The sequence below is a fragment of the Homo sapiens genome, chromosome 2 (genome assembly GCF_000001405.40).
Source record: "Homo sapiens chromosome 2, GRCh38.p14 Primary Assembly".
Classification (NCBI taxonomy): domain Eukaryota; kingdom Metazoa; phylum Chordata; class Mammalia; order Primates; family Hominidae; genus Homo; species Homo sapiens.
The window spans coordinates 24,395,387-24,419,197 of NC_000002.12; the positions used below are offsets into that span (position 1 = coordinate 24,395,387).

Consider the following 23,811-nt stretch of genomic DNA (forward strand, 5'->3'; position numbering starts at 1 on the left):
TTTTAATTTGGAACAAGGGGGGAGCAATGTATTATAAATAATTGAATAAATAAATAATTAAAAAGCTGCCTTTTATTAAAATCCCTCTATCTTAGAACTCAGGACTGAATTCATGGTAGCAATTTTGATTACCATAGCTTTTTTTTTTTTTTTTTTTTTTTTGAGACAGAGTTTTCGCTCTGTCGCCCAGGCTGGAGTGCAGTGGCACAATCTCAGCTCACTGCAAGCTCTGCCTCCCAGGTTCATGCCATTCTCCTGCCTCAGCCTCCCAAGTAGCTGGGACTACAGGCACCTGCCACCATGCCAGGCTAATTTTTTGTATTTTTTAGTAGAGACGGGGTTTCCCCGTGTTAGCCAGGATGGTCTCGATCTCCTGACCTTGTGATCCACCCGCCTTGGCCTCCCAAAGTTCTGGGATTACAGGCGTGAGCCACCACGCCCGGCCTGATTACTATAGCTTTATACTGAGTCTTAAACATGGGTAATATGATTCCTTCAACTTTATTCTTCTGTTTTAAAATTGTTGGCCTGGCGCGGTGGCTCATGCCTGTAATCCCAGCACTTTGGGAGGCGGAGGCAGGTGGATCACTTGAGGTCAGGAGTTTGAGACCAGACTGGCCAATGTGACAAAACCCCATCTCTACTAAAAATACAAAAAGTAGCCAGGCGTGGTGGCGGGTGCTTGTAATCCCAGCTACTCAGGAGGCTGAGGCAGGAGAATCGCTTGAACCCAGGAGGCAGAGGTTGCAGTGAGCCGAGATTGCGCTACTGCACTCCAGCCTGGGCAACAAGAGTGAAACTCTGTCTCAAAAAAAAAAATTGTTTTAGCTATTTTGTTGCTTTGCCTTTTCTATAAATTTTAGAATCAGCTTGTCTATATTCATAAACGCTACTGCAAGGATTTTTAATAACACTTTTATTGAACTATACAACTGAAGTCATAGTTATTTGCATTGTGATAATTCTATTTTTTATTTGTGTTACTCATTTGTCTAGCTTTAGTAACAATCTTTATCCTGTCTGGCAGGAAAGCAGGTGCATGGAGAATACTCCACTTGACAAATTGCTTTCCGATCGTATTCCTCTGTTTTCATCCACAATATTTGGCTTTGTCAGAAGCTTTTCTTCTCTAGCCTTGTTTCTGTCCCACTGTGAACACAGAGCCTTGCATGTGATTCCACATTACTCCCTAGAGTAATGTAGCTCGGTATCAAGGGAGATTTGAAATGGAAAAAAGCAGGAACCTCTGGCTATCTGTGGGTTGTTTGGGTAATTTTTAATATCCTGTTTTAAACTTACCTATTCTGTGTATTTAGAAATGATAACCTAAAAACTTTATGGAATTCCATACAAATTACTTTTGGTTGGGGGGTGGACTTATATTTGAAGATCATCTTACTGTGGCATATTTTGTTTTAAGAGAATGTGATAGGTTGACATATAAGTAGTTATGAAAATGAAAACCCAGTAGATAAAAGGGCAAAGACTAGAACAAGGACTTTACAGAAGAGAAAACCCAATGAGACAATAAATACAGGGAAAAATATTCAGCCTCATTAACCTCAAGGAAATGATACATCAAGATACAATTTTACACTCACCAGGCTGGCAAAAATAAAATCTGATAATATTGAGTGTTGACAATGTGGAGCAATGCAAATTATAATTATCTGCTGGTGGGTGACACAATAACTTTGAGAAATAATTTGGCATTGGCTAGTAAAGTTGAAGAGGTGTGTGTCATATAACCGGATGTTCCTACTTACAGGTACAAGTCCTAAAGAAACCCTCAAACATGTGCATCAGGGGACATGGACCAATCCAATCAAAGCTGTACAATTTATGATAGCATCACATTAGAAGCAGCACAAATGCCCAGCAGCAATGGAATGGATAGATTGCCGCATATCTATAGAATGGAATACTATACAACAGTGAAAATAAAGCAGTTACGACAACGTGGATGAATCTCAGAAAGATAATTTTGAATTTTCTGAATGAAAAAAATGCAAGGCACACAATGCATGGAATATGATTCCATTAAATTAAAACCCAAAAGCATGCATCTAAATGATGTAAGTATACAAACTTGTTAAACCTCTAAGAATTGCAAGATAACACAATATTTAGGATAGGATTTATTTCTTTTTCTTTCTTTTTTTTTTCTTTTTTCCTGGGACAGGGTCTGGTTCTGTCACCCGGGCTGGAGTGCAGTGGCAGGATCTCAACTCACTACAACCTCCACCTCCCAGGCTCAAGTGATCTTCCCACCTCTCAGCTTCATGAGTAGCTGGGACTATAGGTGTGCGCCACCATGCCTAGCTAATTTTTGTATTTTTTGTAGAGACAGGTTTTCATCATGTTGTCCAGGCTGGCCTTGAATTCCTGAGCTCAGACAATCCGCATGCCTTGGCATCCCAAAGTGTTGGGATTATAGGCGTGAGCCATCGTGCCTGGCCTTGGGTTTATTTCTAATAAACAAAGGAAATGCAAACAGAGAAGGCCACACAGATGATGATAATAGTCCTTATTTTCTTTCTTTTTTTTAGTCATATGAATGTCAGATTATAACCTTATTTTCTTAATTGAGTGATAGACACACAGGTATCTATGCTTTTTTAATCTCATTTTCTGGAGTATATATTATATATATTTTATATATATAATATTTATCTTCTTAATAATAAAATTACTTTTAAGTGAAAAGAAAGGTCACCAAAATGTTATGTCTTTAAACTTACAAAGTTAGTTATCACGTTTATTTCTGACTACTCAAAAAATTGCCCTTGCAGTTTAGACAAAATGCTACCCCAGATATCACAGCCAACGAAAGTGAGCTGCAAAGGATTTAGGTCACTAGTTTTAGCCACGTATTTTCATCATGTGCTTTCACTTTTAAATAAAAGAATGTCTTTATTCTTTAAAACATTTGCTTAAGATTTTGAAGCAGATAATATTTTAAAATAGTGGCTCTTAGCTCCTGGCTGTACATTAGAATCGCTCAGAGACTTAAATAACATAAAATATTGATGTCCAACCCCCATCCCAGATTAAATGAGTCAAAATCTCTGTTGGTGGGACCTGGGTTTTGGATTTTTCTTGAAAAATTCCCCAGATTATTCTTACTTAAAGGCATAATTGGAAAGTACCATTTTAAAGCAAATTTCTAAGCCAGCATTTCTAAATGTGGTTTACTGTCTACACCACATTGTTGGTGCAAAATTCTTAAGTGAATAGGAAATAAATTTGGTAGGTTTCTAGCATTTTGAAAATACAAGTAATTGGGAATAGAAAATATCAGAGTGGTCCTGGCACCGTGGCTCACGCCTGTAATCCCAGAACTTTGTGAGGCCGCGGCAGGCAGATCACGAGGTCGAGAGATCGAGACCATCCTGGCCAACATGGTGAAACCCCATCTCTACTAAAAATACAAAAATTAGCTGGGCGTGGTGGCACATGCCTGTAGTCCCAGCTACTCGGGAGGCTGAGGCAGGAGAATTGCTTGAACCAAGGAGGTGGAGGTTGCAGTGAGCTGAGATTGTGCCACTGCACTCCAGCCTAGCGACAGAGCGAGACTCCATCTTAAAACAACAAAAAAAAAAAAAAAGAAAAAAGAAAATATCAGGGTGCATCATATTTTTATTTCTGGAGTGTGTGTATGGGAGAGGTTATGTTTAATGAGTGGTCATGGAAAATACAGGATTTCATACTGTGAGCCACAGTATGTTTGAAAAACAGTTCTAAACAAGCCTAAGGTGCTATTAGGTATTCTTTTAAAACATTTTTAATTGGCAAGTAAAAATTGTGTATATATATTTTATATATATATATAAAATGTACACCATGATGTTTTGATATATGTACACACTGTGGAATAGCTAAGTTAGGTATTTTTCCCTACTGCAAAGTTGATCAAGCAGTAATATTGATACAGGAGTTAAGAAGAAATTACTTAGGCAGATAGTGAGGGCACAGAACTCCTTGGTAAGGTTTTCCTTTTAATGAAAAGCAGCCCCAAATAATTTTCCTTTCTAACAGCAGCCTGTAAAATTGAGCTGCACACGTAGACGCTGGCAGTTATGCCAAGCATGTTAAAAATGGCGGCTCCATCTTCCCTTCTCTGACAGCCACATGCACAGGAAGAAGCAGACAAGATGGCGCTGGCCAAGGGGAAAGTTCATTTGCATAGTATGATTAGAGTGGGTCTGCCAGCCTTCTCCTTGCCCTATGTAAACATCATACCTGATCAAGCCAATCTGCGAGTGCTATGTAAATCAGACACCGCATCCTCAAGCCTGACTATAAAATCTGGCACATCCACTGCCAGCCTTTTCCTCTCCAAAGTCCTCTCTCTCTCACTAGAGAGTGAGCTGTTTTCCTTTCTCTTTCTTTCTTTTGCCTTTTAAACCTCCACTCCTAAATTCCTCATGTGCGTTTGTGTCCTAACTTCTCTTGGTGTGAGATGATGAACCCTGGGTATTTATCCCAGACACTGTAGCTGATTCAATATCATATGATGGTTGCAATGCCTGTGTCCGAATCCTGGCTTTTCCACTCACCAGCTGTATGACTTCAGGCAAATTATCTAACCTCTTTGTGTCTATTCCCTCATCCTAAAAATCTCTTATAGTGCTTGCAGAGGAGTTCAGCAAACTGCACAGTCAGAGGGCACAGTCCTTCAAAGACTGCTCTTCAAACACCAGCTGCAAGTTTGAAGGGCCCCAAGGCCACCCTCAGTACAGACCAACGGGCTACAAATTCAGAGGTGCCCATGACCACCCTCAGGTTCGGTAATTCACTAGAAAGACTCACAGAACTCAGAGAGCGATTATACTCACTGTCACATTTATTACAGGTAAAGGATACAAATTAGAACCAGCCAGAGGAAGAGAATGCGTATGTGGAAGTCTGGCAGGAATCCAAATGCAGAGCTGCTGTCATCCCCATGCTGTGTTCCCCTCCCATCAACAAAGGGGACGATACTGAGAAGGAAACTCACCCAGCTCTTATGTCCAGAATTTTTATTAGGGCTTCGTACAATAGGCACAATTGATTGAATTATTGTCCACGTGGCTGAACCCAACTGCCAGTCTCCCTCCCCTGCCTGGAAGTCAGGGTGAAGTGACGTGGCCCAAAACCCCAGTCTTTTTTTTTTTTAACTTTTAACTAAAAAGTAAACTTGAATGTCGAAAATGCAAACTTGGGGAAGACAGAAAAGATCACACGCAAGGCTGTCACTTCGCACTTGGAAGGTTGCACAGTGGCCGGGCAGAGGCGCTCCTCACTTCCCAGACGGGGTGGCGGCCGAGGAGAGACGCTCCTCACTTCCCAGACGAGAAAGCCCCAGTCTTCTAATCACTTGGTCTTCTCTCGTGGCCAGCCCCACCTTGAATCATCTTGTTAACATAAACTATCTTGTAACGGCCTTGTTACTGATAACTATCAGGTGTGGTCCAAGGTGCTTGTCATGAATAACAAAAACATTCCCACACCTGGAAAAAAAAAAAATCTCAAAGAGTTGGCCAGGTGCAGTGGCTCATGCCGGTAATCCCAGCACTTTGGGAGGCCGAGGCGGGCAGATCGCTTGAGTCCAAGAGTTTGAGACTAGCCCAGGTGACACAGCGAAACCCTGTCTGTACAAAAAAATACCAACATTAGCTGAGCGTGGTGGCATGACATGTAGTCCCAGCTACTTGGGAGGGTGAAGTGGGAGGATCGTTTGAACCTGGCAGGTGGAGGTTGCAGTGAGCTGAGATCACACCACTGCATTCCCAACCTGGGCAACAGAGTAAGACCCTGTCTCAAAAACAAAAAACAAAACAAAAAATCTCAAGGGTCTAGAAATGACCCCCCTGAACTAAGACAAAAGCCAGACCTCACTTTGGAGGTCAAATTCCTTACTAAACAAGTGGTTGTGAGGATTAAACGAGCACATGTATATGGGAAACTCTTAGAATATTGCCTGCTATGTGGTAAGTGCTCCTAGATACTATTACTATTGTTTTTAATCTTTGCCCCTTTTATTTTCAGTCCTTGACTTCTCAAAGAGCCTTGTTTCTGTTTTAATTTTCACTTTCATCTAGCCAACAGCCTTCGCTTCCCTAGTTTCTCTCTCTCATTGAGCATAAGGGAGAAATTACTTGGCTGAAAGTGGGAAGGAAAGGGTAGGAGGAAAGCTAGAGGCTTTTTACCTCCCCAACACACCCTTGTCACTTCCATTCTCAGCTGTCATCCCCCTTCCCTTCTTCACTTTTCTCACTTCATTCTTAACCACCCCTCCCCTCTCTCCTACCTTTTCTTTTTTTAATTAAAAAAAAAACTTTTAGGTTCAAGGGTCCACGTGCAGGTTTGTTATGTAGGTAAATTGTATGTAACGGGGGGTTTGGTGTACAGACTTTGTCACCCGGGTAATAACCATACAACAGATAGGTAGTTTTTCAGTCCTCATCCTCTTCCCACCCTCCACCCTTCTAGCAGGCCCCAGTGTCTGTTGTTCCCCTCTATGTGTCCGCGTGTACTCAGTGTTTTGCTCCCACGTCTGAGTGAGAACATGTGGTGTTTGGTTTTCTGTTCTTGCCTTAGTTTGCTTATGGCCTCCACTGCAGCTTCATCCATGTTGCTGCAAAAGACATGATCTGATTTTTTTGTTTGTTTTGAGACAGAGTCTTGCTCTTTTGCCCAGGCTGAAGTGTAGTGGCACAGTCTCGGCTCACTGCAGCCTCCGCCTCCTGGCTTCAAGAAACTCTCCCGCCTCAGCCTCCCGAGTAGCTAGGCGCTACCACGCCTGGCTACTTTTTGTATTTTTAATAGAGATGGGGTTTCGCCATGTTGTCCGGGGTGGTCTCAAACTCCTGACCTCAAGTGATCCGCCTGCCTTGGCCTCTTAAAGTGCGGGATTACAGGTGCGAGCCACCGAGCCTGGCCAGCTCTTTCTATTCTTGATGATCTCCACAACTCCCACATCATTTATGTTACCCAGTTAGACCTTGTAGGATATAATTTTGCAACCACAAGGTTAGAGATTATTACCACTTATCCCTCAATCTCTTGCCAATAAACAGAACACAGAAAACATTACTAACAAATTTACCAAAATTCTCTAGAACTCACACTAAGTTACAGGTTTAGAGCAAAGCTTTAATGATGTAAGCACACGTTAATTTGTAAATAAACTGAGCTCACACCCTGACCTTGTACCGAAGGAACAGTGCTTCCATTCTTTAACTTATGTTGCCTACAAAATAAACATCCTGGGATAGAAATATTGTGTGATGGGGCTGGGCGTGGTGGCCCATGCCTGTGAGAGGTGACAATGTACTAGCAGCCCTTGCTCGCTCTCAGTGCCTCCTTGGCCTTGGTGTCCACTCTGGCTGCGCTTGAGGAGCCCTTCAGCCTGCCGCTGCACTGTGGGGACCCTTCTCTGGGCTGGTCGAGGCCGGAGCGGGCTCCCTCTGCTTGCGGGGAGGTGCGGAGGGAGAGGCGCGGGCGAGAACGGCGGCTGTGTGCGCGCTCGCAGGCCAGCATGAGTTCCCGGTGGGCATGGGCTCAGCGGACTCCGCACTCTGAGCCGCCGGCCAGGGCCGCCAGCGCCGGGGAGTGAGGGGCTTAGCACCCGAGCCAGCAGCTGCGGAGGGTGAGCCAGGTCCCCCAGCACTGCCGGCCTGCCCGCATCCCACTTGAATTCTCGCCAGGCCTCAGCCGCCTCCCCGCAGGGCAGGGCTCAGAATCCGTAGTCCGCTCTGCCCGCGCCTCGCCCCCCGCCCGCCTTTCCCCCGCGCCTCGCCCCCCGCCCCCCGCGCTCGCCCCCCCCCCGTCTCGCCTCCCCCCGCCCGCCCTCCCCCCAGCCCCCTCACCCCCCCTCCACCACTCCACCACCCCCCAGGCCTCCCTCCACCACCGCCCCCAGGCCTCCCTTCACCACCCCCCCACACGCCACCGTGGGCTCCCGCGCGGCCCGAGCTTTCCCGGGGGGCACCACCCCCTGCTCCACAGCGTTTGGTGCCATCCACCACCCAGGGGGCTGAGGAGTGTGCGCAGGTGGCAGGACTGGCAGGCAGCTCCACCGGTGGCCCTGATGAGAGATCCACTAGGGGAAGCCAGCTGGGCTCCTGAGTGAGGTGGGGGTCTTGGAGAACTTTTATGTCTAGCTAGAGGATTGTAAATGCACCAATCAGCACTCTGTGTCTAGCTCAGGGATTATAAACAGACCAATCAGTACTCTGTCAAAACGGACCAATCAGCTCTCTGTAAAATGGGCCAATCAGCTCTCTGTAAAATGGACCAATCAACAGGATGTGGGTGCAGCCAAATAAGGGAATAAAAGCAGGCTGCTGGAACCGGCAAGGCAACCTAGTTGGGTTACCTTGTCTTTTGTGGAGGTTTTGTTCCTTTGCTCTTTGCAATAAATTTTGCTGCTGCTAAGTAGTTGGGTCCGTGGTGCTTTAAAGAGCTGTAACACTCACTGCGGAGGTCTGCAGTTTCACTCCTGAAGCTAGTGAGACCAGGAGCCTGCCAGAAGGAAAAAACTCTGGACATGTTCAAACATCGGAAGGAACAAATTCCAGACACACTATCTTTAAGAACTGTAACACTCAACCGTGAGGGTCCGCGGATTCATTCTTGAAGTCAGTGAGACCAAGAACCCACCAATTCCGGACACACCTGGAATTCTTTGGAAGGCTGAAGCAAGAGGATCATTTGAGGCCAGGAGTTTGAGAAATTCTATGTGATATAAAGCAGATGCATAAAATTTGCCCACATCTGCAACTTACTTATAAAATGTTTTTTTCAAGAGACTGGAACTTCTAGTGCATAAATACAGTTTGGGTTTAAAAACCCAGAATCCTGAAAAAAATGGCTCTACTTAAAAAACGACTGTTTTTGGTAGTTGAACAGTAATTTAAAGGGCTCTTCAGTGACGTTAGAAATCATTAAATCCAATTCTTTCCTTTTAAATGTAAGGAAGCTGTTGAAGAAAAGTCCCATGCTGTGTTTTATGTTTTGAAGGTATCAGAACTTCTTAAAAAATTAACTGCTGTAGCGGGGAGAGAGCAGAGGGTCTGCTTCTTCAAATACTGGCGATCACACCATGGTTTTATATTGTTTTGGAAATAACTTTTAGTTGAAAAACTTCGAGGAGTTCATTGTAAGTTCAATTACAGCTGGAGGGATATAATTTATTGTAATTTATTAGTCATTGAATATCCATGTGCTCCCAAGACTCCCCAGCTCCCTTGCAGTTAGGAGGGCCTATGCGACTCGTTTTGACAAATGAGCCGTGAGTGGAAATGACATGTGTCACTTCTGGGACAAAGCACAAAGAGAAGAGCACTTTATCATTCTTGATTCCTCTCTCTTTTCTTGCCGCAATGACAGCCGAGGCCAAATGTGGAGATGGCATAACCAGAAGAGGGAACGAACTGGCCTGGATGTGACTCATGCTTGGAAGGGAGCTGTCTGGAAGGACCACAGTACCTGCAGCCAACTTTGTGTGAGTGGAAAATAAATAGGTTAAAGCAATACAATTGGGGGATTGTTATTGTAACATAACGTAGTCTATTCCTGGTTAATGCATTAACAATGCCCTCTCTTAACAGTAGCCGCTTTTTAAACTTCCCCCACTTACGTAAAACATAGTTTATAATATCTAACATTCATACTAATTTAAAAGTTTAATATTCACACAGGGAAGACATCTCTTGTTTAAAAATGTTGATGGCAAGGGAATTATTTATTTATTTGTTTAGAGACAGAGTCTCACTATGTTGCCCAGGCTGGACTCAAACTCCTGGATTCAAGTGATTCTCCTGTTCAGCCTCCTGAATAGCTGGTACTATAGGTACATGTCACCATACCCAGCAGAATCATAATTTTTTCTTTTTCTTGAGACAGAGTCTTGCTCTGTCACCCAGGCTGGAGTGCAGTGGTACCATCTCAGCTCACTGTAATCTCCACCTCCTGGGTTCAAGCGATTCTCCTGCCTCAGCCTCCCGAGTAGCTGGGACTACAGGTGCATGACACCACACCTGGCTAATTGTCGTTTGTTTGTTTTTGAGATAGAGTCTCGGTCTGTCGCCCAGGCTGGAGTGCAGTGGTGCAATCTCGGCTCACTGCAACCTCCGCCTCCTGGGTTCAAGCAATTCTCTGCTTCAGCCTCCTGAGTAGCTGGGATTACAGGCCCCCGCCACCATGGCCAGCTAATTTTTTGTATTTTTACTAGAGACGGGGTTTCACCATCTTGGCCAGGCTGGTCTTGAACTGACCTTGTGATCCACCCCCCTTGGCCTCCCAAAATGCTGGGATTAGAGATGTGAGTCACCACGCCGGGCCTAATTTTTGTATTTTTAGCAGAGATGGGGTTTCGCCATTTTGGCCAGGCTGGTCTCAAACTCCTGACCTCAAATGATCTGCCTGCCTTGGCCTCCCAAAGTGGTAGGATTACAGGTGTGAGCCACCGCGCCCAGCCTGTGTGGTGGCATATGCCTGTGATTCCAGCTACTTGGGAGGCTGAGGTGGGAGAATTGCTTGAACCCAGGAGGCGGAGGTTAGTGAGCTGAGACCAAGCCACTGCACTCCAGCCTGGGCGATAGAGTGAGACCCTGTCTCAAAAATAAATAAATAAATACAAATAATTAAAATTAATTTGTAAGAGTTCTTTAAAGTTCTTTCTCAAGAATATTTGATATAACTATAATTTTCCATTCCATGGCTTACCTTTCTACCTTCTTCATGGTGTTTTGTGATGGACAGAAGTTATTAATTTAATTAATTAATTTTTTTTTGAGATGGAGTCTTGCTCTGTCGCCCAGGCTGGAGTGCAGTGATGCGATCTTGGCTCACTGCAACCTCCACCTCCCGGGTTCAAGCAATTTTCCTACCTCAGCCTCCCAAGTAGCTGGGATTACAGGCAAGTGCCACCATGCCTGGCTAATTTTATTTTGTATTTTTAGTAGAGACGGGGTCTCACCGTGTTAGCCAGGATGGTGTCCATTTCCTAACCTCGTGATCTGCCTGCCTAGGCCTCCCAAAGGGCTGAGATTACAGGCGTGAGCCACCGGGCCAAGCCAAAGTTATTAATTTTAATGTGGCTTAATTTATCATTTTCTTTATAGTTAGTGGATTTTTTTTTCCTACTTGAGAAGAAAGTTCCTCTGGTCACTCTTTAATAACACAAGTATTTTTTCCTCATTAGTTTAAAAATCCAAATTTAACCGTATAATATTGAACAGATCTTGGCAGCCTAACCAATAGCCATGACCGACTTTTTCCCTGTTAACAAAGCAGAATTGATGGAAGAAGGGATTAGGAGAAATGTATACCCTGAAAACATAGTGTTTGGCCAAAGGCACCCCACACTTGATGCACTGAATCAGAATTCTTGGATTGGAACTTAGATGTGTGTAATTTTTGTTTTGTTTTGTTTGTTTTTGAGACAGAGTCTTGCTCTGTCGCCCAGGCTGGAGTGCAGTGGCTTGATCTCTGCTCACTACATCCTCCGCCTCCCGGGTTCAGGAGATTCTCCTGCCTCAGCCTTCTGAGCAGCTGGGATTACAGGCGCACACCACCATGCCCAGCTAATTTTTTTTGTTTTTAGTAGAGACGGGGTTTCAGCATGTTGGTCAGGCTGGTCTCAAACTCCTGACCTCGTGATCCACCCGCCTCGGCCTCCCAAAGTGTTGGGGTTACAGGCCACTGTGCCTGGCCAGTTTTTGTATTTTTAATAGTGATGGGGTTTTACCATGTTGGTCAGGCTGGTCTCGGACTCCTGACCTCAGGTGATCCTCCCACCTCAGCCTCCCAAAGTGCTAGGATTACAGGCATGAGCCACCATGCCCAGCCAGATGTGTGTAATTTTTAAATGTTCCCCAGATGATTCAGTTATACCTTTTATTTTAATTTAATTAATTTTTTGTTTTTGAGACGGGTCTCACTCTGTAGCCCAGGCTAGAGTGCAGTGGTGTGATCATGGCTCACATGCTGCCTCGACCTCATGGGCTCAAGCGATGCTCCCACCTCAGCCTCCCAGGAAGCTGGGACCATAGGTGTGCACCACCAGGCCCAGCTACTTAAAAAAAAACAAACAAACTTGTAGAGATGGAGTCTCGCTGTGTTGCCTAGGCTAGTCTCAAACTCTTGGGCTCCAGGGATCTTCCTACTTCAGCCCCCCCAAAGTGCTGGGATTACAGGCATAAGCCACTGCATCCAGCTTCGGTTGTATCTTGATAAAGACTAAGAAAAACAATCAAAACAAAACACAAACTCAAGTGTCTAGAATGTCACTGAAGGAAGGAGAGAGTTTCAAGCAGAAGTTGGAAAACAGGCTTAGATGTAGCAGAGAGTTCAAGGAGGATAAAGATGATGAAAAATGTGTTGAGTTGGCTTGAATCTTCAAAGTCATTGGTAAAGTAAGAATGCTTTTAGTACAAAGGTGGGGTATAGAATTTGGGTTACATGATATTAAAGATGGGGAGTAGGCAATTAGAACAGCAGTCCTGAACTTTTTTTTTTTTTTTTTTTTTTTTTTTTTGAGACGGAGTCTCGCTGTGTTGCCCAGGCTGGAGTGCAGTGGCACTGTCTCGGCTCGGGCTGACTGCAAGCTCCGCCTCCTGGGTTCACGCCATTCTCCTGCCTCAGCCTCCTGAGTAGCTGGGGCTACAGGCATCTGCCACCACACCCAGCTAATTTTTTTGTATTTTTAGTAGAGACAGGGTTTCACCATGTTAGCCAGGATCGTCTCAATTTTCTGACCTCGCGATCCGCCCGCCTCGGCCTCCCAAAGTGCTGGGATTACAGGCATGAGCCACCACGCCCGGCCGGTCCGGAACCTTTTTGGCACCTGAGTCCAGTTTGTGGAAGACAGTTTTTCCACGGAATGGGGATGGGAGGGTGGGGGTAGTTTCCGGATGAAACTGTTACACCTCAGATCGTCAGGCGTTAGATTCCCATAAGGAGCGCAACCTAGATCCCTTGCTTGTGCAGATCACAATAAGGGTTTGTGCTCCTATGAGAATCTAATGCCACCACTGATCTGACAGGAGGCAGAGATGGCAAATCCATCTTCAAGGTTGGATTTTTGAAAGTTGGTCCTTTGTTTTAGGCTTTGTCAGGCAAATATATAGCCTCCAAAGTTAGCATGTGGTATTTCATATGGCAACCACAGATCAGAAATTTGAGGAGGAGCTACATCATGTAGGAATGACTTTGGTTGAAAGCAACAGAATATCCAACTAAAAGTGGCTCAACCCATATGATCCATAATATGCCACTTACTGGTCCATGGCCTGGGGGTTAGGTACCCCTGAGTTAGAAGGCAAAAAAAATGTGTATATATCAAATGTTCAAGGAGAGTAGATGGCATTAAAAACAGTTTTGCAGGCTGGGCACAGTGGCTCATGCCTGTAATCCCAGCACTTTGGGAGCCCGAGGCAGGCAGATCACTTGAGGTCAGGAGTTCAAGACTAGCCTGGCCGATATGGTGAAACTCCGTCTCTACTAAACAAACAAACAAAAATTAGCTGGGTGTGGTGGGGCACGCCTGTAATCCCAGCCACTCATGAGGCTGAGACAGGAGAATCGCTGGAACCTAGGAGGCAGAGGTTGCAGTGAGCCAAGATCGCGCCACAGCACTCCAGCCTGGGTGACAGAGCGAGATTCAGTCCCCCTCCCCCCCAAAAAAACAAACAAAAGAAACCAAAAAAAAACCCCTAAAAAACAGAGTTGCAGAATTAAGCACAAAAGATGTTTGTTTTCCAGTTTGAAGAATTGAGATACAAGAACATGCAATCCTTGAACTTCAGAGTTGAGGAGAAGCTTAAAGATGACCTGGTTGGATTTTATGTGTTATTTAAGCTTCCTTCACAAAGTCCTTTCGGGCTGTTCATGCCTAGATGCCTCTCATGGTGAGGCCTCCCTCTGCCCTCAGGAGCAGCCTGTTGTGTCTTTGCATGGCTTCCAGTGAAAGCTCTTCTTTATCATGAGCTCAACACTTTCCTCCTCAGATTTCACAGATTGTCATAGTTGAAGCAGGAGGACAGGTGTCAGCTGTGCGAGGATGTTATCTTACTAATACATTTATTTAACGGCTTTCTGAAGGAAATGATTAAAAGAATCTGGCTTGATATTTTTGTTTAAAAAAAAACCGCTAGCCCAAATTTAAACGAATAGGATAGTTTAAGAAATAGTTGTTCTTTAAGGATGGTTTTTTGAAAGTTGGTCCTTTATTTTAGCCTTTGCAAGGCAAATATATAACCTCCAAAATTAGTATGTGGTATTTTTATATACTCTGTCTTTTGAAACTCTGTCGCCCAGGCTGGAGTGCAGTGGCACAATCTCGGCTCACGGCAACCTCCATCTCCCGGGTTCAGGTGATGCTCTTGCCTCAGCTATTTTTGTATTTTTCGTAGAGATGGGGTTTCACCATGTTGGCCAGGCTGGTCTCGAGCTCCTGACCTCAAGTGATCCGCCTGTTTCAGCCTCCCAAAGTGCTGGGATTACAGCGTGAGCCACCACGCCCAGCCAATATGTGGTATTTAGTATGGCAACCACAGATCGGAAATTTGAGGAGGAGCTATATCATGTAGGAATGACTTTGGTTGAAATCAACAGAATATCCAATTCAAAGTGGCTCAACCCATGTGACCCATAATATGCCACTTAGCAAAACGTCTGGAATCCCTGGAGTAGATGTGTTAGGCACAAATTTGAGGTTTCCATGGCTTTCCTCTTCTGACCACAAGATGGAGCAGCTGCTCTAAACATTATATCCTCAGAGGGCCACATTTAAGAAGGCAGGAAGGAGGCTGGAGCAAAAGGGCTTTCTCAAGTCCCCCTAAGCAAGAATTTAAACTGGGCCCCCCAGGAGACTTCTTCTGTCAGAATTTAATTACATGTCCATCGCTAGACTGACAAAAGAAAAGTTAGAGAACCACGATTTACTTAGAACCTAAAGCTGGGCACATGGTTGCCTGGTCAGAATAGGGCTTTTATTTATGTACTTGATTTTTTTAGGTGAGAAAGAAGTGAAGTATAGCCATTGAGTAGGCTGCCAATAGTGCCTGCCAGAGACACTCAGGAGAGATTATATGCTAAATCCACCAGACCCTTTGTCTAAGGGCAGGACGTCACCTCTTCAGAAACTGTTTTTCTTCTTGTGGTAATTATTAATTCTCTGCAGTGATTTAGAAGAATTCTTGTACTAAATGTCTTGCCATTAAAAGTTTGATGAGTATAGAAACTGACAGTAGAACTATTTTTAAAAGTAATTCTACTTCTAACCCAAACTTCTTACTCTAGCTATTATTTTACCACGACGTGAGTTGTACGAATCACCTCCAATTTACATATTATGGAAGAGCCTTACATGGAAAAGAAGAAATCATTTTCAAATTAGACATTCCATCTAGAACTGTCAGTAGCTGATTCCCATCACTGTCTTTTATTTCTTCATGCTTTTAGATGAGAGTAATCATATCTGCAGTAATTCCCAAGATAAAGTTTTCTTTTTACAGCTAATTTTATGAAGTTTTTTTAATTTCAAAGAATAAAGCAATTATTCTTTCTTTTTGAAATTGCATATCGTCCAGAAACATTAATTATTCTTTCTTTTTGAAATTGTATATCAAGTTTAGAAATATTGACTTCTTTAATTTGAAACACTAATGTCAAGTGATAGGTATAAACATCTATATTCTATCCTCTTTCTTTCAGTGTACTTCTTGTTCTTGGCAGATCCTCATTCCTACTGGATATCTGTTGCACGCCAATTATCTTAGGCTACAGCTGTTTACTGACAGCTGTTCTCTCTACTGCCCACCAGGCAGCCACCCTTTTGTGGCAATCCATGCCTCTGCCTCCCAAGTGGGGCTGCTTTGGCCGGGGCTTCACCCTTAGCTCAGGCACAGAGCTTCTGATCTAAATCAATCCAAAGCTTGCATTTCCAGCAAAAGTATCATTTCTTCTCATTGGCTATGAATGAGGCTTCCATTCATCAGTCATTTTTCTGGGGACTTCTGAGGGAAAGATTCTTTCTCTGTCCTGCTAGATTTTTACCTGAGGGAATGTGAGGCCCAAAGTTGCTGCAGCCATCTTGACATCTTCAGTGGGAGCCAGTCTGAGAACAGAGGTGAGAGAGAGAGAGGGAGAGAGAGAGAGAAGCAGACCCTCGTGATACATTTCAACCTTTAAGCCAAGATAGCAGCAAGCCCTATTTCCAGACTTTTCAGTTACATAATCAAGTAAATTTGCTGCTTTGTTTAAGCATCTTTCTCTTTCCCTCTCACCTTCTGTCATGGGATGACTCAGCAAGAAGGCCCTTGCAAGATGCTGACACCTTGATATTGGACTTCCTAGCCTTCAGAACTGTGAAGAATAAATTTCTTTTCTTTATAAGTTGCCTAGTCGCTGGTATTCCCTTATAGCAGCACAAAATGGACTAAGACGGGCACGATAGATTGACCTGGCTGTGTGACTGCAATCTCTGGGCTTGGCTGAGGGCCATTTGTGCCTGGAATTGGAGGACACTGTGAAGACATTGTCCATTTCAGAAAGGCTTTGTTCCTAAGTCAGTGCCTCTGGCCTTCTCCACAGTGACCTTTGCCACACTCCACCCCAGGGGTCCACATTCTTGTCAAAGGGTGAGAAATCTTTTGTGACTGGCCATGATGATGCCATTGTAACACAGGTGGCCAATCAGTTTATACATCTGTTTATCCCCTTAAACAGGTCATTTATTTTCATGCACAATTGAAACTGTAAGTCAAACTCTGCTTCTTTATGGTGGTAAATAGTACGTTGATTATGCTAAAGAAAGATTATTATCGTAAGTGAACACCTGTGTCTTGTATCACAGTGGTACTACATCAGGGAAACCTGGTGGTCTGTTTTATTTATTTATTTACTTATTCAAGAGACAGGATCTCATTCTGTCACACAGGCTGGAGTGCAGTAGCACAATTGTAGCTCATTGCTCTAACTCCTATGCTCAAACAATCCTCCTGCCTCAATCTCTCAAGTAGCTGGGACTGCAGGTGTGTGCCATACAGTCAGCTAATTTTTTTGTTTTTGTTTTTGAGACAGAGTCTCTCGCTCTGTCGCCCAGGCTGGAGTGCAGTGGCACAATCTTGGCTCACTGCAACCTCCGCCTCCTGGGTTCAAGTGATTCTCCTGTCTCAGCCTCCCGAGTTGCTGGGATTACAGGCATACACCACCACGTCCAGCTAATTTTTTTGTATTTTTAGTAGAGATGAGTTTTCATCATGTTGGTTAGGCTGGTCTCGAACTCCTGACCTCAAATGATCGCCCGCCTCAGCCTCCCACAGTGTTGGGATTATAGGCATGAGCCACTGGGCCTGGCCTAATTTTTTTTTTTTTTTTTAGATTTTGTAGAGGCAGGGTCTTCCTATGTTGCCCAGGCTGGTCTTGAACTCTTGGCCTCAAGTAATCCTCCCACTTTGGTCTCCAAAGTACCAGGATTACAGATGGGAGCCACCATGCCTGGCCATGTTTTATTTTTAATAGGAAATTTGTTCGCATGGCTGAAAGCTCAAAGGGTACAAATAAATGTTTGTGAAAACTTTCCTTCCCGCTCCTGTTTCCCAGGTGCCCAATTCTCTTCCCCAGAGCTAATCCATTTCATGCTTTTGATGTAGCCTCCCAGAGTGACTTTATGCATATTTAAGCAAACAATGTATTATATTCCCCCTTTGCCTCAACACTGGTGTATGGACCTTCTGAGCCTTGCTCTTTTCACTGAAGATATCTTGGATGTACTTGCATGTAGTACATAAAGAGCTTCTTCATTCTTTTTGGTAGCGTCTGAGTATCCCACAATTTCATAATAGCATGATTTCATTAATGTCTGTTGATGGACATTTCAGTTGCTTTGTATCTTTGGCTCTTGAAAACAATGCTACAATAAACAATCTTGTACATATGTCATTCTGCACTTGGGTAAATATATTTTTGCAGTAAATGTCTAGACGTAAAGTTTTTGGGCCAAGGGTATATGTGTTTGTATATCCTCCCCAACACACACTTTTTTAGTTTAGTTTTTTTTTTATTTTTTATTTAAGATGGAGTCTTGCTTTGTTGCCGAGGCTGGAATGCAATGGCCCGATCTCGGCTCACTGCAACCATCTACCGGGCTCAAGCGATTCTCCTCCCTCAGACTCCCAAGTAGCTGGGATTACAGGCGTGCGCCATCATGCCCTGCTAATTTTGTATTTTTAGTAGAGACAGGGTTTCACCATGTTGGCCAGGCTGGTCTTGAACTCCTGACTTCAGGTGATCTACCTGCCTTGGCCTCCCAAAGTGCTGAAATTATGCTAGGCTTAGGTTTTATTATACTCGAAAAAATAATGCCTACCATGGGAAGAAAATCCAAATAGAATAAAAGTGTATGTATATAGGCCAGGCGCGGTGGCTCACGCCTGTAATCTCAGCACTTTGGGAGGCCGAGGTGGGCGGATCACCTGAGGTCGGGATTTCAAGACCAGCCTGACCAACATGGAGAAACCTTGTCTCTACTAAAAGTACAAAATTAGCCGAGGTGGTGGTGCATGCCTGTAATCCCAGCTACTTGGGAGGCTGAGGCAGGAGAATCGCTTGAACCTGGGAGGCGGAGATTGCAGTGAGCCAAGGTCGCGCCATTGCACTCCAGCCTGGGCAGCAAGAGCGAAACTGCCTCAAAAAAAAAAAAAAGTGTGTGTGTGTGTGTGTGTGTGTATATATATATATATAATATACATATACATATATATACACATATACATATATATACACACACACACACACACAGATATATATATATATATATACACACACATACAGTAAAAAGTAAGTCCTCTTACTCTTTGGTTTCCAGGCTCCCTCCCTGGAGGTAACCACTGTTTGTGTGTGTACTTCTAGATATATGCATATACAAACATATATATATGAATAAGTATATGTCATCATTTGCCTTTGCTTAAAAGGTATATACTACACATACTATTCTGCACCTTGAGTTTTTAATTAATATGTCTGGAGTTTATTGCATACCAGTAAGTATAGATCAACTTCATCCTCTCGTTATCTTTTTTTTTTTGAGACAGAGTCTCGTTCTGTTGCCAGGCTGGAGTGCAGTGGTGCTATCTCAGCTCACTACAACCTCCGCCTCCTGAGTTCAAGCAATTCTCCTGCTTCAGCCTCCCAAGTAGTTGGGACTACAGGCACGCACCACCATGCCTGGCTATTTTTTGTATCTTTAGTAGAGACGGGGTTTAACTCTGTTGGCCAGGCTGCTCTCGAACTCCTGACCTTGTGATCCTCCCGCCTCAGCCTCCCAAAGTGCTAGGATTACAGGTGGCAGCCACCTCGCCCAGCCATCCTCTCCTTATCTTTAAAGTCAATATAGAATTTATTTTGAAGAGACTAATATTAGTTTTTTCATTAAAAAAATATATAGTTTACACAAAATAAAATATTTTTTACTGTACAATTCTGTAAGCTTTGACAAACATGTATATTCAGCTTGTAATTTTTTTTTTTTAGAGACAGAGTCTCCCTCTGTCACCCAGGCTGGAGCACAGTGGCGCGATCTTGGCTCACTGCAACCTCCGCCTCCTGGATTCAAGTGATTCTCCTGCCTCAGCCTCCCGAGTAGCTGGGATTAGAGGCATGCGCCACCATGCCTGGCTAATTTTTGTATTTTTAGTAGAGACGAGGTTTCACCATGTTGACCAGGGTGGTCTGGAACCCCTGACCTCAAGTGATCTACCTGCTTTGGCCTCCCAAAGTGCTAGGATTACAGGCTGAGCCACCAAGCCCAGCCTGTATATATTCTATTGTAATTTTGATGGACATTGCAAATTGCTCCCTTGAGAATTTCGGTCAGTTCACACTCCCACCAGCAATGCATGAGTACCTGCTTTTCTGCAGTCTTGCCGATTTAGATGTGTCATAAAACTTTTTGATCTTACCAATCTGCAGGTAAAAGTGGAATTGCATCATTTACAATTTCATTTCTCTTAGGATAAAGCTGAGCATCTTTTCATTTGTATAAAATCTGTTTATGGCTGGGAGCGATGGCTCACGCCTGTAATCCCAGCACTTTGGGAGGCCGAGGCAGGCAGATCACCTGAGGTCAGGAGTTCAAGACTAACCTGGCCGACCTGGTGAAATCCTGTCTCTACTAAAAATACAAAAAATTAGCCGGGCACAGTGGCAGACGCCTGTAATCCCAGCTACTCGGGAGACTGAGGCAGGAGAATTGCTTGAACCCGGGAGGCAGAGGTTGCAGTGAGCCAAGATCATGCCATTGCACTCCAGCCTGGACAACAAGAGTGAAAATCCACATCAAAAAAAAAAAAAAAGGCTGAGCGTGGTGGCTCATGCCTATAATCCCAGCACTTTGGGGAGGCCAAGGCAGGTGGATCACAAGGTCAGGAGTGGAGCCTGGCCAACATGGTGAAACCCCATCTGTACTAAACACACACACACACACATACACTCTAGCCGGTCATGGTGGTGCAGGCCTGTAATCCCAGCTACTCGGGAGGCTGAGGCAGGAGGATTGCTTGAACCCGGAAAGCAGAGGTTGCAGTGAGCTGAGATCATGCCACTGCACTCCAGCCTGGATGACAGAGTGAGACTCCGTCTCGGAAAAACGAAAAAAAAAATCTGCTTATATTTCCTTTTCTGGAAACTCTCCATACTTTTTTTTTTGACCTATTTTTCTATTGTGGATTGGTCTTCATTTGTAAGGACTCCCAATAAATTGGGAAATTTGCCCTTGTCTGTGATATAAATTGCAAAAATTTGGGAAACTTGATGTTCATAGAAACATCCAAGAAGAATTGTATTCCCTCCACAACTCATGCATAAACCTTTCAACCATTGGGAGAACACTGCATATGCAAAGTTCCACTTCAAAACTGAGATTTGGCTTAGAAGGTTGTCATGCTTTGCAAAAAAAAAAGTGTACACTATTGTTCTGAAACAAAGGAATGAATCTGTGCATCAACAATGTAGTTTTTGGATAACGTTTGAGGATTACAAGTTAATGTTATTATTACAAGTTTATTATAGGTAATATAACCAATTGGGTCTCTCTGATTAAAATGTCCAAATATCCCCTGGTTCATTGCAGGCACATGGAAAGTTGAAAAGTCATCTCTATGTGCTTCCTTCCTGCCATAACTTTGCAAGATTATTACATCACATTAAAATAATAAGATCACAGTTTGGGTGATCTATCTTCAAAATGCACACGTGATATTCAACAGTGATATCTACATCTAAAAATGTAAAGGAGAAGAGTTGGGACTTAAGAAAATAAAACATTATGGCCAGGCATGGTGGCTCACACCTGTAATCCCAGCACTTTGGGAGGCTGAGGTGGTAGGATCACCTGAGGTCAGGAGTTCGAGACCAGCCTGACCAACATGGTGAAATCCTGTCTCTACTAAAAGTACAAAACTTAGCTGGGTGTGGTGGCAGACGCCTGTAATCCCAGCTACTTGGGAGGCTGAGACAGAAGAATTGCTTGAATCCAGGAGGTGGGGGTTGCAGTGAGCCGAGACTGCCACTGCACTCCAGCCTGGCGACAGAACGAGACTCCATTTCAAAAAAAAAAAAAAAGAAAAACATTATCTTTTCTGTGCATGACATGGAGAAGTAAAAAAATATGTTATTTGGGCCGGGGGTGGTGGCTCAAACCTGTAATCCCAGCACTTTGGGAGGCCGAGGTGGGTGGATCACCTGAGGTCGGGAATTCGAGACCAGCCTGACCAACATGCAGAAGCCCTGTCTCTACTAAAAATACAAAATTAGCCGGGCAAGGTGGCACATGCCTGTAATCCCAGCTACTCAGGAGGCTGAGGCAGGAGAATCGCTTGAACTCGGGAGGCAGAGGTTGCAGTGAGCTGAGATCATGCCATTTCAGTCCAACCTGGGCAATAAGAGTGAAACTCCATCTCAAAAATATATATATATATATTTATATATTATAATATATATTTATATATTATAATATATATTTATATATTATAATATATATTATATTATATATTTATATATTATAATATATATTATATTATATATTTATATATTATAATATATATTATATTATAATATATATTTATATTATAATATATTATATTATAATATATATTATATTATTATATATTATAATATAATATATATTATAATATATATTATATTATAATTTATATATTATATATATTATAATATATATTATATTATATATATATTTATATTATAATATATATTATTATATATTATATATTATAATTTATATTATATTACAATATATATTATAAATATATATATTATATTATAAATATATATTTTTATATTACAATATATATTATAAATATATATTTTATATTACAATATATATTATAAATATATATATTATATTACAATATATATTATAAATATATATTATATTACAATATATATTATATTATAATATATATTTATATATGATATATTATATTTAATATATTATATAACATAATATATAATATATAATATATTAATATAATATATAATATAACATAATATATATAATATAGAAAATTTTAGTTGGTTTACTTGGGTAAATAAAGTTACATACAGAATACCTAGGAGAGGTGCTGGGGATGGGGTGGAAATACAGAAGAGTGACTCAGTCCTCCTTATATATGGAATAATGGGTGTAAGGATGTAATTAAGTCATCCTTTATGAGCTTGAACCAGGTGAGTAGTGATCACTGGCATTGATTTTAATTAGCCTATTCTTGATATTAAACATTTCCTATACTCTCATTATATATGACTTTCTTCAAGCATGGATAATTGATAGAAGTCATACATATTTAGAGCCTTTTTATTCCTTGATTTCTACACACACCTTGATCAGTCTGTACATGTAATGTCTATTAATCATCCCAATAATTAAGCAATAATTAGAATGAAAAATCATGAAAAAATTCACAGACTAAATTCAGGTCTTTGAATTTACTCTGGCTTAACTGGTTTTTTGTGTGTAACTGGCTCATTGAACAGGCAGGACTTGTGTTTTGTGGCCATAGAAGCAACTTTATTTTTATCTCCTACTTTCCCTTTAAAGCTGTTCAGTGCAGGAAGCCCTTGCCTTCCCTTCTGGATGAAAACTCAAGCATTTTCATCACATCTCTGGTCACTCCTGGGTAATAAAAATCCTTACAATCCCTTTAGTTCACATTCACAGGCCGAGCATAGTGATTCACCTTCGCCCTTCCTTCAGCTGGGGCCTGTTGCAGGTGAGAGGCTGTGATCCAGGAAAGGTGGGAGGGGTCAACTGCTGCTCTTTTTTTCACTGTCACCCTCCCTTCCCCAGACTCCCTCCCAGCTAGATGCTGTCTGTTAGGAACTTTTACCAGGAGCTAGGACAGAAAGGACATGGTAGGAAGGAGAGGAGAAGTGGCAAGACAAGAAAGTACTTACCGAGCTGGTCCACTCTCTGGGCTAAAGGGACACACACAGGTACAGACTCCTGATTTATAACAAGATTCCAATGAAATTTAGTGGGAAAAGATGTTATTTTCTTTTTTTTTTTTTTTAATTTAAGAGATTGGGCTCGGCCGGGCGCAGTGGCCAGGTGCAGTGGCTCACGCCTGTAATCCCAGCACTTTGGGAGGCCAAAGCAGGCAGATCACTTGAGATCAGGAGTTCAAGACCAGCCTGGCCAACATGGTGAAACCCCCGTCTCTACTAAAAATACAAAAATTAGCTGGGTGTGGTGGCATGCACCTATACTGCCAGCTACTTGGGAGGCTGAGACATGAGAAT

The 23,811-nt window shown here is 42.9% G+C and overlaps 1 long non-coding RNA gene across 4 annotated transcripts in view, besides 4 other annotated features; it reads left to right on the forward strand.

Annotated features, from left to right (window-relative positions):
- Positions 4,074-4,368: an enhancer, noted in NCBI's record as "tiled region #9937; HepG2 Activating DNase matched - State 2:TssF, and K562 Activating non-DNase unmatched - State 10:DNaseD". NCBI's record gives its function as "activates a minimal TATA promoter and a strong SV40 promoter by Sharpr-MPRA in HepG2 and K562 cells {active_cell/tissue: HepG2 | K562}" and the evidence as "EXISTENCE:reporter gene assay evidence [ECO:0000049][PMID:27701403]".
- Positions 4,775-5,275: an enhancer, noted in NCBI's record as "H3K4me1 hESC enhancer chr2:24623030-24623530 (GRCh37/hg19 assembly coordinates)". NCBI's record gives its function as "activates a minimal SCP1, AML or CMV promoter by ChIP-STARR-seq in naive H9 embryonic stem cells {active_cell/tissue: H9 hESC(naive)}" and the evidence as "EXISTENCE:reporter gene assay evidence [ECO:0000049][PMID:30033119]".
- Positions 6,975-7,481: an enhancer, noted in NCBI's record as "H3K27ac-H3K4me1 hESC enhancer chr2:24625230-24625736 (GRCh37/hg19 assembly coordinates)". NCBI's record gives its function as "activates a minimal SCP1, AML or CMV promoter by ChIP-STARR-seq in naive H9 embryonic stem cells {active_cell/tissue: H9 hESC(naive)}" and the evidence as "EXISTENCE:reporter gene assay evidence [ECO:0000049][PMID:30033119]".
- Positions 7,482-7,988: an enhancer, noted in NCBI's record as "H3K27ac-H3K4me1 hESC enhancer chr2:24625737-24626243 (GRCh37/hg19 assembly coordinates)". NCBI's record gives its function as "activates a minimal SCP1, AML or CMV promoter by ChIP-STARR-seq in naive H9 embryonic stem cells {active_cell/tissue: H9 hESC(naive)}" and the evidence as "EXISTENCE:reporter gene assay evidence [ECO:0000049][PMID:30033119]".
- LOC105374329 (uncharacterized) overlaps positions 8,642-23,811 on the forward strand; it is a 59,127-nt gene continuing 43,957 nt past the window's right edge. Inside the window, exons 1-3 of one of the 4 annotated variants that reach the window (XR_939839.4) lie at positions 8,642-9,006; positions 9,376-9,490; positions 15,706-17,934. This is a non-coding gene — a long non-coding RNA (uncharacterized LOC105374329). Of the gene's footprint in view, positions 9,146-9,375; positions 9,491-15,006; positions 15,479-15,705; positions 17,935-23,811 lie in introns of those variants that run through there. The other 3 variants (XR_939840.4, XR_939838.4, XR_001739340.3) reach the window with 3 other exon arrangements.